Here is a 12,979-nt window from a genome sequence, read left to right on the forward strand (position 1 = left end):
GTTTGGCTTCCAGTGTTCAGAGATTTTCCCGTTGTCTTTCCATTCTTGATTTCAAGTTTGATTCATTGTAATCAGAGAACATACTCTGTATGATTTCTGTTCTTATAAATGTGTTGAGATTTGTTTTGCAGCCCAAGAATATGGTCTTTCTTGGTATATGTTCCTCACTTGAAAAGAATGTGTATTCTGCTATTGTTAGGTGAAGTTTTATACATATCAGTTAGATCCTGTTGGTTGATGGTATTGAGTTCTTCTATATCCGAGCTAGTTTCTGAGAGGTGGTGCATTATCCATAACTCAGTGGCTGTGCGTAACATGGAGAGAAGTCTCACTCATCAGCTGTGCCAGATGCAGGGGGTTCAAGGATGGACAAGAATCCTGCCTTCCTGGCCTTCAACCCCAGGCCATCTGAACTACAACCCCCTTGGCACTGGGATGTCTGCGTACACACCCATTCTCAGGATCATTTCCAATAACAAAAATTAAAAGCTTTTGTATTTAAAGGAATAAGTGGTCATATGTTTTAAAAATCAGGCCAGGCATGGTGGCTCACACCTGTAATCCCAGCACTGTGGGAGGCCAAGACGGGTGGATCACCTGTGGTCAGGAGTTCAAGACCAACCTGGCCAACATGGTGAAACCCCATCTCTACTAAAAATGCAAAAATTAGCTGGGCGTGATGGCTGGTGCCTGTAATCCCAGCTACTTGGGAGGCTGAGGCAGGAAAATCACTTGAACCAGAGAGGCAGAGGTTACAGTGAGCCAAGATCACGCCACTGCACTCCAGCCTGGGCAACAAGAACAAAACTCCGTCTCAAAAAAAAAAAATTAAAAATTAAAATAAAAATCATTTCTATGACACCCATTGTCTTCCTGCCAACAGCAGAAATCGTAGACATTAGAAGTTAGTAGCAAGCTAGAAGGGACTGAGTTACATAACTCTCCACACCTAGGATCCAGTAGGAATGCTGACAATTCCAGTGTCCATATTGCTGCTGGCTTTCGGCTCCCAGGGCCTTTGTCCTTGCGTGATCTCATCTTCTCCTCATGCTGTTTTCAGGCGTGTGGTTGATAAACGGAGGCACACACAAGCCACAGAGAAACAATTGTTCTGCCAGTGAGGTCACTGGTGGGTAGCGTCGACCCAGAGGCCCCACGGTCCCCGCTTGATTGGTGACCACTCGGGGCCGACTTTGCACCTGTCTGACTGTGGTCCCTGCTTGATTGATGACCACTTGGCCCGACTTTGAATTCTGTCATTTCCCTGATCTGGAGCACTGGAGTGGGTTCTCTCTGTTCAGGTGAGGGAGACACCCCCCTGAGATGGGCCCTCCTCTGTTCCAGGTCAAAGCCATCTTGGACGCAGCGTCCCAGAAGATAGCAACCTTCACAGACATCGGCAACAGCCTGGCGCATGTGGAGCACCTGCTGAGGGACCTGGCCAGCTTCGAGGAGAAATCAGGCGTAAGGCGGGGTCCCGGCGGGGGCGGCGGGAGAGTGTGGGCAGCATCATCAAGTGCTGCTCAGGAAGGCGCAGGAATGGGCCTCCCGCCTACGGAGAACGGACCCCACAGCCCCCCGGGGATGTCCATGGGGTGGGGGGTGCTGCTGCCTGTACCCCTCCCCTCCCACACCCCACCCACAGCACATGGCCCTGCCCGGCCTCCTCTGGGTCAGGTCCCTGCAGACGGTCAATGCCTTTGCTGGGACCACCACAGCCCCCAGAAGCACTTGCCACAGAACAGCTTCGGGGATTAAGCAGCATCTCAGGCATCCGCAGCAGTAAACAAAGAAATCAAGACACACGTGTGCCCCGGGACACACATCCCGTACAGCAAGGCACTGTGTGCCTCGAACAGAAAGAGGCCTGAGCTGGTCCTCTGGGTGGCCGTCCACAGGTGGCCGTGGAGAGGGCCCGGGCCCTGTCTCTGGACGGCGAGCAGCTCATTGGGAACAAGCACTACGCGGTAGACTCCATCCGCCCAAAGTGCCAGGAGCTCCGGCACCTCTGTGACCAGTTCTCTGCGGAGATCGCAAGGAGGAGGGGGCTGCTCAGCAAGTCCCTGGAGCTGCACCGCCGCCTGGAGACGGTAGGCCGAGCCGGACCCCACCCCACTCCCCCCCAGCTGCGGAACCAGCCTCTTCCTCCCACATCCACCACCGGCTGACCCTTGTCGTGGGGAGGGCAGCTCTTTGGCTGGAAAATGTCCTTGCACCCTTCGTTTCTGGTCTTGTTGGCCTAGAGGGTCTTTTTCTAGAATTCATTTGCCACAGTTTTATTTCTTTTTTTTTTTTTTTCTCACTGCAACCTCTGGTTCCTGGGCTCAAGGGATCCTCCCACCTCAGCCCCCAAGTAGCTGGGACTGTAGGTGCATGCCACCGTACCCAGCTAATTCTTGTATTTTGTGTGTGTGTGATAGAGATGGGGTCTCACTATGTTGCCCAGGCTGGTCTCGAACTCCTGGGCTCAGGTGATCCTCTCACCTTCACCTCTCAGAGTGCTGGGATTACAGGCGTGAGCCACCCTGCCCAGCCAATAATGATTTCTTTAAAAGATCCAGAAGCTTAAGGCCTGGTTGATCCTACTGCACTTACCCTGCCTCTCCAGGCCCCGCCCTGGGTAATTCACTGGTGTTGTCCAGCACTGTGTCCCCTTGGGATTGGCCTTGTCCAGCACTGTGTCCCCTTGGGATTGGCCTTGTCCAGCACTGTGTCCCCTTGGGGTGCTTTGGACAGGGTGGCGGGAGCACGAGGAGTCGGTGGCCCGGGATCTGTCGGGAGGACACCCCGGCAGTGTGTGCCTGGACAGGGTGACGCTCTCACCCTCTCACGGCGTCCTGCCCTCGGCAATGCTCTGTGTTTCCAGTCCATGAAGTGGTGTGATGAAGGGATTTACCTGCTGGCCTCACAACCTGTGGACAAGTGCCAGTCCCAGGACGGCGCGGAGGCTGCCCTCCAGGAAATCGAGAAGTTTTTGGAGACCGGTGCGGAAAATAAGATCCAGGAGCTCAACGCGATTTACAAGGAATACGAATCCATCCTCAACCAAGATCTCATGGTAACGCTGACTCGGGCTCTCCATTTGCAGCTTGCTGTCCCGAGCAGTGAGGCATTCCTCTGTGGGAAGTTTGAAAGAATCATTTAATGAATTATTTGTATTTATTTATTATTATTTTTTTTTTGAGATGGAATCTCGCTCTTGTCGCCCAGGCTGGAGTGCAGTGGCACGATCTTAGCTCACTGCAATCTCCGCCTCCCAGGTTCAAGCAATTCTCCTGCCTCAGCCTCCTGAGTAGCTGGGATTACAGGCGCCCACCACCAAGCCTGGCTAATTTTTGTATTTTTATTAGAGACAGGTTTTCACCATGTTGGCCAGGCTGGTCTCGAACTCCTGACCTCAGGTGATCCACCCAGCTCAACCTCCCAAAGTGCTGGAATGACAGGTGTGAGCCACCGCACCTGGCCCATTTAATGAATTACTACCAAATAATAGGCATATGAGAGAAACACACAGTTGGGAGGTCAAGCTGAATTTTCCTTTCAACACAGAAATTATTTCCACGCCAACCCTGCGAGGTGGCCATCCCGCCTCCGCTGGCAGACTTTGTGGCATGGGTGTGTTCTTCAGGAAGGGCCTGGCCCTGGGACCTGGTGATGCCCTTGAGACCAGGCTCCTCCTGAGCCCTCCACATGCCTGGGGAAGGCTGCAGGCCCCTCCCTCGCATGGAGCTGCCCTTTCCCGAGGCCGGGGCCCCGTCCCGTGTGGGGGCTGCATCCCCCTCTCCGTCCGTAGTGGCCAGGGCTGGACACAGCTGCGCTGCGCTGACAGACCCCGCATGGAGAACATTTAAAGCGGGGGTTGGGCGTGCCCCGGCACGTTCTGCGCCTGACTGTGTATTTTTAGTGATGACACCAACATGTGCAAGGCACCTTACTGAGCATGCGGTTTCAGGAGCACGTGCGAAAGGTCTTCCAGAAGCAGGCAAGCATGGAGGAGGTGTTCCACCGCAGGCAGGCCAGCCTGAAGAAGCTGGCGGCCAGGCAGACGCGGCCCGTGCAGCCGGTGGCCCCCAGACCCGAGGCACTGGCAAAGTCGCCCTGCCCCTCCCCAGGTCTGTGTGGCCGCCCGGTGCCCCGGGTGCTGTGGGACCCTCGGGGGAGCCCCGGGCGTTGAGAGCTTGGTACATCTGAGGCAGCCACCTGCGAAAACTGTCTCCACACGCCTCCTCCCCTTCCACCTCCGGGCCCCAGTTCAGGGCCTGAGGGCCGGTTCCCGCCACCCCTCACCCATGTTTATAAATGGAGTTTTGTCAGGACCCGGCCACGCCCATCCTGTGCCACGCACATCTTGTAGGCATCGTTGTGGCTGCTTTTCCATGAGGCTGGCAGGGTTCAGTGGTCTCAGTGAAGCCCACGTGGCCCAAAACTGGAAACACAGAGCTCCCACAGAGGAACCATCTCCGGCCTTCCCAGCTCCAGCCTCTCCACGGTCTGTCCTTTCCCGGTGCTATTGCCAAACAACATTCCTCACACACGGCCCAGACCCTGGGCTCCAGGAGCCCTGAAGAGCCACGTCCGCGCACCTCAGTCCGGCGCGCATTGCTGGTCCCAAACCCGCCCTCTATGCCGAGCCAGGCACGGCGCCATTTCCCAGAGACTTTCCCGCCACCTCTGTGTCTCAAAACGAACCCTCTTCCCATCCTTGCTGGTTTCTCACACACGAACCCACCAGGCGAGCTGCTGCCCCAGCTTTGGCGAAAGTCAGCTGTCAATCTCAGGGGCCCCGGGGGCCAGGCTCTTGCCTTCCTGTGCTGGGTCCCAGGCGACCTTATTTTCTGCCTGTTGGGAGCTCTCCCAGGTCGGAGCCCACAGGCGCTGTGTCCCCGTGGGCTGTGGGAACGTGGGGTGACTCAGGGCAGTGAGGCCCCACCGTCCTCCCCCTTCCCGCACCACCACCTGTGGCCTCAAAGGCCAAGTCCTGCCCACGCCACCACCTGTGGCCTCAGAGGCCAAGTCCTGCCCACGCCACCACCTGTGGCCTCAGAGGCCAAGTCCTGCCCACGCCACCACCTGTGGCCCCAGAGGCCAAGTCCTGCCCATGCCACCCCCTGTGGCCTCAGAGGCCAAGTCCTGCCCACGCCACCACCTGTGGCCTCAGAGGCCGAGTCCTACCCTCTCCTCGGGGCCTTTTCCCGCTGGGTGCACTTCCCCTCTCCAGAGGGTCAGAGGGGACTTCATGCCCCGCTCCCCTTCTTCCCAACAGGCATTCGGCGAGGCTCTGAGAACTCCAGCTCCGAGGGCGGTGCGCTCCGGAGAGGGCCCTACCGGAGGGCCAAGGTGAGGCTTGCCCAAGACAACCCCGCCATCCACACCCCCCTCCTTGGTTCACGCTGGGCCTGGTTCTCCGTGTGGCCCCCCCTCCCGGGCACTGCCCAGCTACCTGGCCAGCTCCCCATCGTGGGAATTCAGCCCTGTCCCCATACGGGAACTGGTGGGCTCTGGCCTTGAGAGTTGGCCCTTGAGGTTCCGTCCCGCCTTTCAGACCTGACGCTGTTTTTCTCCCCAGAGTGAGATGAGTGAGAGCCGGCAGGGCCGCGGCTCAGCGGGGGAGGAGGAGGAAAGCCTGGCCATCCTGCGCAGGTGGGTGCGCTGCCCTTCTGTCCTCACAGGGGCCCTCCGACCGCAGCCTGAACCACCAGATGCCGTCAGGCACTCGAGCAGATGCCTCACAGATAGAAGGCTGGTGCAGAAGTCATTGTGGTTCTTACTTTTGCACCAACCGATACCCAGAGGGCCTGCCGTGGCTCGAGCGTGTGTCCTGGTCCCCACCGCGTGAAGCACACACACGCCGCACACACACCACTCGGGATTCAGGAGGGAAGAGAGGGCGATGGCTGAATGCAACAGTGAAGGGGCATCTTCGCCCCAGCAAGAGCCTCCACCCGCCACTGCCATTCACAGGAGACACCACTCAAAGGCCCCAACCAGCACCAGCTGCAGCAGCAGTCACCAGCTGCTCAGGGCTCAGTGTGGCAGGCAGTGGTGCCAGGCAGCTGGTGTGTGGGAGGGCATCGTCTCCAGCCCTCCTTTTCCCCTGGGATTCCTGGACCCTCAAACTCAGGGAGTGTTGTGCAAACAAAAGCAGTTCTCTTTCCTCCTTCACCTTTAAGAAAGAAAGACCTCACTGGTGCAGGGCCAGGGAATGCAGGTCCCCAGAGCAAAACTGGGAAGGAGCCAAACACCCATGAGGCACACGCGGCTCCCTCCCAGAGGCCCTCGAGGAAGAGGAGGAGGCCACACACCGACCAGGCACCCGCCACTGGCTTCACACTTTGCACTGTCTCCGTTTTTAGTATTTGCACTGAATATGTTTGCAAGAGACGCTTGGAACCACGTCTCCCCCTTTCACCATCAAAACTCCAAAATCAGGAAAGAAGAAAAGGCTCTTCCTGATGTGTTGACAAGCAGGTGTCCGCAGGCAGCGCCAGTGTGACCCTGCAGGGTTGGGAGACGGCGCAAAATTGGGAATTACAGGAAACTGAGCTTGGTGTGAAAGCTGAGTCTGTCACTTCCGGCTTCTGATGGAAGCTGGTGAAACAGGATGGGAAGGAAGAGGGGCTTGCCAAGAAGCGTCCAGGCAGAGGATTGTCCACACGGAGGAGGGTCCAAGCAGAGGGGCGTCTGCACGGAGGAGGGTCCAGGCAGAGGAATGTCTGAATGGAGGAGGGTCCAGGCAGAGGAGAGTCCATACGGAAGAGGGTCCAGGCAGAGGGGCATCCGCACAGAGGAGGGTCCAGGCAGGGGAGTGTTCGTATGGAGGAGAGTCCAGGCAGAGGAGTGTCCATACCGAGGAGAGTCCAGGCAGAGGAACGTCTGAATGGAGGAGGGTCCAGGCAGAGGAGAGTCCATACGGAAGAGGGTCCAGGCAGGGGGGCATCCGCACAGAGGAGGGTCCAGGCAGGAGAGTGTTCGTATGGAGGAGAGTCCAGGCAGAGGAGTGTCCATACCGAGGAGAGTCCAGGCAGAGGAACGTCTGAATGGAGGAGGGTCCAGGCAGAGGAGAGTCCATACGGAAGAGGGTCCAGGCAGGGGGGCATCCGCACAGAGGAGGGTCCAGGCAGGAGAGTGTTCGTATGGAGGAGGGTCCAGGCAGAGGAGTGTCTGTACGGAGGAGGGTCCAGGCAGAGGAGTGTCCATACGGAGGAGGGTCTAGGCAGAGGGGCGTCCGCAGGGAGGAGCAGCAAGTGCTCGGCCCTGAGACGCAGAAGGAGTGGCCCTCGGCTGGCAGTTCCTGGGTTGTGAGAGGGAGTCCAGAGCCCTCTTGCTCCCCAGTCCTCTCCCCTGTGCCGAGTCCGGGGCCTCTGCGGGCCGACAGCTGTCTTAGAACAAGCTTGCTGAACAACCTCAACCCAGGACCAGCCCCCTGGCTCCAGTTTCTGTGCATCACATAAGCAGGCAGGGCCGTAGGCTGCTGAAAGGTGCTCACACCCACAGCAAGACCTGCGCAGCCAGCTTGTGCACCCTCCCCTTCTGGATCCAGTGTGGTGGGTGCAGGGTCACTCCCCGGACCACCACTGCCCACCTGCTGTGTGTGAGGGCGTGGGCAGGGGGCAGCTCCGGCGATGCCAGACCCCCGCCCTGGCCACGAGGGGCCACACAGATACCCACCACGAGGAAGGCTCAGGGAGGCCGGGCAGCAGGCGGGCGTCTTCTTGGCAGAAGAGACTCGGGTGGATTCTAGGGATGGGTCCTAGGAGTAGGATGACTTGCCCATGAGCGTGAGGAACTCAGCTCATTTTGCACAGGTGGGACCCAAAAGCCCAGGAGGCGAGTCTGGGAATCCCTCCTACCAGGCGGTGTGTGCCGGGCCAGGGGCAAGACACTGCCGGCCAGTCTGGGAACCAGGGAGGCTTCAGCCGCCGTCTGCAGGGTCTGAGGCCGCGAGCTGGGAGGGGAACCCCGAGGAGCGTCCAGCCTGTGGGCTTTGGGTCGCCGCCAGTCCCCTCCTGCTGGGCAGGCCATCATTCTAGGTGGCACCTGTGAGACTGTGGAGCAGACCATTCCTGCTCTCCCAGTGCTAACCTTTTTTGCTCTCCACATGACCTGCCACCAGGCACGTGATGAGCGAGCTCCTGGACACAGAACGGGCCTACGTGGAGGAGCTGCTGTGCGTCCTGGAGGTGAGGCTGGACTCGGGGAGGGCCGACTGCCACGGGGACTCCCCTGGGCCAGCTGGTGGGGCTTCCTCTGACAACTGCTGCTCGGAGCAGCCTGCTGTCCACCAAATGCATGTGAGAGAGCGCCCACAGCAGCCTGGTCGGGCCCCAGACGGGGAGCCCCTGGGGGCCTATCAACAAGACACAGACCAGGCAGCTCAGGGGGGTCCGTACAGGGGACAAGTGTAGTGATAAGAAAGAGGAGCTGACACACAACAGATGCACAAACCACACACACATCGTCACCAACACAGGCCACAGGGTGCCTGCGATTCCCGGCACGGGGCACTCCAGGGCAAGCAAAACTCGTCGGAGGTGGGAGGCAGATTAGAGGTGACCTTGGCAGTGGGCTGTTGCCTGGGTGAGCTTGATGTGAGTGGTGGTCACCTGAGTATAGACAGGCATCTCATTCACCCAGTGTGCACAGGTAGTGATCACCTGAGTGTAGACAGCGAGTGTGCACAGGTGGTGGTCACTTGAGTGTAGACGGGTGTCCGAATCACCGAGTGTTCAGAGGTGGTGGTCACCCAAGTGTAGACGGGTGTCTGATTCACCGAGTGTGCACAGGTGGTGGTCAACTGAGTGTTGACAGGTGTCTGATTCACTGAGTGTGCACATGTGGTCACCTGAGTGTAGACAGCGAGTGTGCACATGTGATCACCTGAGTGTAGACAGCGAGTGTGCACAGGTGGTGACCACCTGAGTGTAGACAGCGAGTGTGCACAGGTGGTGGTCACCCAAATGTAGACGGGTGTCTGAGTCACCGAGTGTGCACAGGTGGTGGTCACCTGAGTGTAGTCGAGTGTCTGATTTACTGAGTGTGAGCAGGTCACCCGAGTGTAGACATAAGATTTGTGCCCTCTGTTTCAGTTACACCTGAATCATAAAAGGTTAAAAGGGAGAAGGGTAGAACCTCCACCCCATTCCCCCAAATTGGTGCTGTTCATAATGCTTTTGCTTTGATGGATGCCTGTCCCGGTAACTTAGAAATCACCCGAGAATAAAGATGAAGGGCTGGCCTGGCCCACAGATGAGCCGGCATCCCTGGCCCACCTGCCCCCCCACAGCATCAGGCCCAGGACCCCCGCCGACCTCTGCGCTCTCCCTGCAGGGCTACGCCGCGGAGATGGATAACCCACTGATGGCTCACCTCCTGTCAACAGGCCTTCACAACAAGAAGGATGTTTTGTTTGGAAACATGGAGGAAATCTATCACTTCCACAACAGGTGGGCCCTTCCCCCCGACACAGGCACGCACCCGTGATCTCTTGCAGCTAATGGTGCTGGCTTCAGGGGGCTGGAATGGGGGTGGAGGCCAGGCCATGCCTGGCTAGGGAGGGGCGCCCAAGGGGTGGACTCACAGAGGCACAGGCTTGAGTGTGGGTACATGGGGCCATCTCTGAGCGCCCACGTGGCACCGTACCTGGTGGCCTGTGTCTAGGCAGCCAAGTTGTAAGTGAGCCGCCAGCCGTGAGGAGAGGGCTCTGAGCCCGAGTGCGCCCTGTTTTGTGGTGCAGGAAATGGGACCCGCCTGCCCCTCATCCCCTCCTCATCCTGCTGGGCAGGTGGAAGCCGGAACCCCCTCCCAGGTGTGTATTCGGCCCTTTAGGGGGTCACCGAAGGCCATACCACATAGCAAGGCCTGTTTTGTTCCCAAGCTCTTGAAAAGGACGGCAAACTAGGCGTTCCTTACCCATCATGGGGGCTGCTTGTCCCCCGAGCGACCCGTGGCCTCTCCAGTGCAGGTGGCCTGTCCGGCCTCTTGTCCTCCACTCCTCTGAGCTGTTTGGCTGCTTTAACACAGTTTTGGGGAGCTCATGGGAAGGTGTAGGGTGCACACGCAGTGCAGAATGCCAGGGAGGCTGCAGTGGACAGCCCCCGCTGCGTGTCCTGGAAGGAACCCATGTGAGTGGCTCCCATGCGGCCATGTGCTTGGGGACCAGCGTGCCCCACTGGCCATGGGAATCGCCAGTGCTTGGGATGTTGTTCTGACACCTGTTTCTTGCCCTCTCATCACCTCACCTGCCACTTACAAGGAGGCAGCAGGTCTGCAGTTGACCACCAAGGAGCCTTCCACGTCCACGGAGCTTGGGCAGAACCTTAGTGTCCCTTAGTATCTGTCCTCATGGCCCCCAGGGTCTCAGCCAGTCCTGCACGCAGGGGTCCCCACAGCTTTCAGCTGTTGTGCTCATGCCCCAAATCCATCCCCCAGACGGTTTTCCCCTCCAGCCGGACTTCCTCCAGGGGACAGATGCAACAGAAAACAGCCCAGGAGCCTGGGGGCGGCGCTGCCTAGGGCCAGGGCTCAGGGTGTGTCTGCAGAGAACCCACAGACCCACGGCCAGTTATGGGGGTGGCGCCTCCAGGGCCCTGAAAGGTCCCATCTCTGTCTTTGCCTGCGGCCCTGTGAGCCGTGTGTGTGCTGAGGGAAAAGCAGCTCCCTCCAACTTCTGTGTGCAGCCAAGGCCAGAAATATAAAGAGACTCAGCCTGGGGCTGCACCTGCTGGCGCCTGAGAGCTTGGTGCTCAGGACAGGCGTGGCTGCGGCGTCTCCAAGTCATGCGGGGCAGATTGCCCAGAGCAAGGCGTAACAGGCTTCTGAAAAATGACGTCCATCCACTTGTCACTGGTCCACGTGACTCGGCCTGTCTTTCATACTACTTAAAAACCTTCTTTGTCTAGGATATTCCTCAGGGAGCTGGAAAACTACACTGACTGCCCAGAACTGGTTGGAAGATGCTTTCTGGAGAGGGTAGGTGGTGTTTTGACGTGTATTTTGTCACAACTTCTTAAAAGTACTGAATAATGACTTCAGATTCTACTGCAAGTTCCTATTCTAACCAACTGAAATCACAAAATACGATGTTTTCAATTTGGCTGAGATACCATGATGCTCCTGTACCCCTAGAACCTCCTGAACCCCCAGAACCTCCTGAACCCCAGAAAACCTCCTGAACCCCAGAAAACGTCCTGAACCCCCAGAACCTCCTGTACCCCAGGACCTCCTGTACCCCAGAACCTCCTGAACCCCAGAACCTTCTGTACCCCCAGAACCTCCTTTGCCCCCAGAACTTCCTGTCCCTTAGAAACTTCTGAGCCCTGTGCCTTAAAACCTTCTGTGCCCCTAGAACCATCTGTGCCCTAGAGGCACCCAGGAGCAATTGCACTTCACAATGGGGCTAGGGTCTGTTTTTTGCTAAATAACAGGTAATTTGTAAAACTGCCAGAGAAAATGCTAGAAGTTCTATTATATAAACAAATCAACAAACCACACCATAAATGGCCTTCTAAGAATGGCTGCGGTGGAACCCCGTCTCCACTCCACGCCTGTGCTCTGGGAAGTCAGGGGCTCTGGGACAGGGAGCCCCATTAATGGAGGGCAGGCCCCCCAGCGGAGCCTGGGAGCCAGTGCCGGCCCTCGGAAGCTATGGGGCCAGCAGCAATGCCTCGCAGGGCCGGGAAGACGCTGCGTGATGCGGTGCCCGTCCCTCACCGCGTAATGCGGTGCCCGTCCCTCACCGCGTGATGCGCTGCCCATCCCTCACTGCGTGATGCGGTGCCTGTCCCTCGGTGCAGATGGAAGATTTCCAGATCTATGAGAAGTACTGTCAGAACAAGCCCCGCTCTGAGAGCCTGTGGAGACAGTGCTCCGACTGCCCGTTTTTCCAGGTTTGTCCCCGGACCTTCCTTTAGAACGTTACTCCCTTTCCTAGCCGACTCCTGAGGAATAATGAAAATTGTGCAAACCAAAGGCTCTGGGTTGGTTCCAGGAATGCCAGAGAAAGCTGGACCACAAGCTGAGCCTGGACTCCTACCTGCTGAAGCCAGTGCAGAGGATCACCAAGTACCAGCTGCTGCTCAAGGTGGGCTCCGCGGTGACCGTGGCCCGGCCTCCCCAGCACCTGCTGGCCAGGTGTCTGTGCCGCCCTGGGGCCCCGTCCCCATCGCGCCCTGCCCCTCCCAGGCCAAGGGCACCTCTTCCGAGCCTGTGCTGAGGCTGGGATGCCTTTCGAGGTCCTACTGTGCGCCACTGTTAGGGGTCTGAGGACGCAGGTGAGCAGACGAGTCCCCGTCCCCATGGGTTGGCACACAGCCCAGCCCACATGGGATTCTGTGTGATGTGCTGACCCGTCCCTCCAGGGTGGAGCCGTGCCCGGATTATCTGGCACACAGCAGGGACGTGGGGCGGCCTAGACTGGGGATTCCAGCTATGAGTTTGCCATGTGGGTCCCTCTAACCTTCAGGCAGGAAACTGCAACTCCATGCCTTTGGCCAGGGTTAGGGTGGCGAGAGGAAACTCCCCAGGGAGCAGGTGCGAGGGGTTTGCACCTGGCATCAGGGTGGCAGGAGGGAGCTCCCCGGGGAGCAGGTGCGAGGGGTTTGCACCTGGCATCAGGGTGGCAGGAGGGAGCTCCCCGGGGAGCAGGTGCGAGGGGTTTGCACCTGGCATCAGGGTGGCAGGAGGGAGCTCCCCGGGGAGCAGGTGCGAGGGGTTTGCACCTGGCATCCGGGTGGCAGGAGGGAGCTCCCCGGGGAGCAGGTGCGAGGGGTTTGCACCTGGCATCCGGGTGGCAGGAGGGAGCTCCCCGGGGAGCAGGTGCCAAGGGTCTGCACCTGGCAGGGGTGCTGCCCCATCTGCAGCACCACTCAGTCTGTCCCAGCTGCAGGAGGGCAGGCAGGGCAGCTCCCCACAGACCAGGGGAGGGTGAGCAGCATCCCTACCTCGTGCCAAGCTCCTGAGGGGTCTGTTCCAGGGGAGCCAG

General features: G+C 58.6%; 1 protein-coding gene across 28 annotated transcripts in view; it reads left to right on the top strand.

Annotated features, from left to right (window-relative positions):
* MCF2L (MCF.2 cell line derived transforming sequence like) overlaps window positions 1–12,979 on the top strand; it is a 205,408-nt gene that overhangs the window by 178,765 nt on the left and 13,664 nt on the right. For all 28 annotated transcript variants that reach the window (NM_001438391.1, NM_001438392.1, NM_001438393.1 and 25 more), the window contains 11 exons: window positions 1,345–1,464; window positions 1,899–2,090; window positions 2,867–3,058; window positions 3,953–4,112; window positions 5,264–5,337; window positions 5,567–5,640; window positions 8,114–8,180; window positions 9,328–9,443; window positions 10,899–10,968; window positions 11,793–11,885; window positions 11,987–12,079. In NM_001438391.1, coding sequence (NP_001425320.1) covers window positions 1,345–1,464; window positions 1,899–2,090; window positions 2,867–3,058; window positions 3,953–4,112; window positions 5,264–5,337; window positions 5,567–5,640; window positions 8,114–8,180; window positions 9,328–9,443; window positions 10,899–10,968; window positions 11,793–11,885; window positions 11,987–12,079 — 1,251 coding nt within the window. The remainder of the gene's footprint in view (window positions 1–1,344; window positions 1,465–1,898; window positions 2,091–2,866; window positions 3,059–3,952; window positions 4,113–5,263; window positions 5,338–5,566; window positions 5,641–8,113; window positions 8,181–9,327; window positions 9,444–10,898; window positions 10,969–11,792; window positions 11,886–11,986; window positions 12,080–12,979) is intronic.

Source organism: Homo sapiens, chromosome 13 (assembly GCF_000001405.40).
Source record: "Homo sapiens chromosome 13, GRCh38.p14 Primary Assembly".
NCBI lineage: Eukaryota > Metazoa > Chordata > Mammalia > Primates > Hominidae > Homo > Homo sapiens.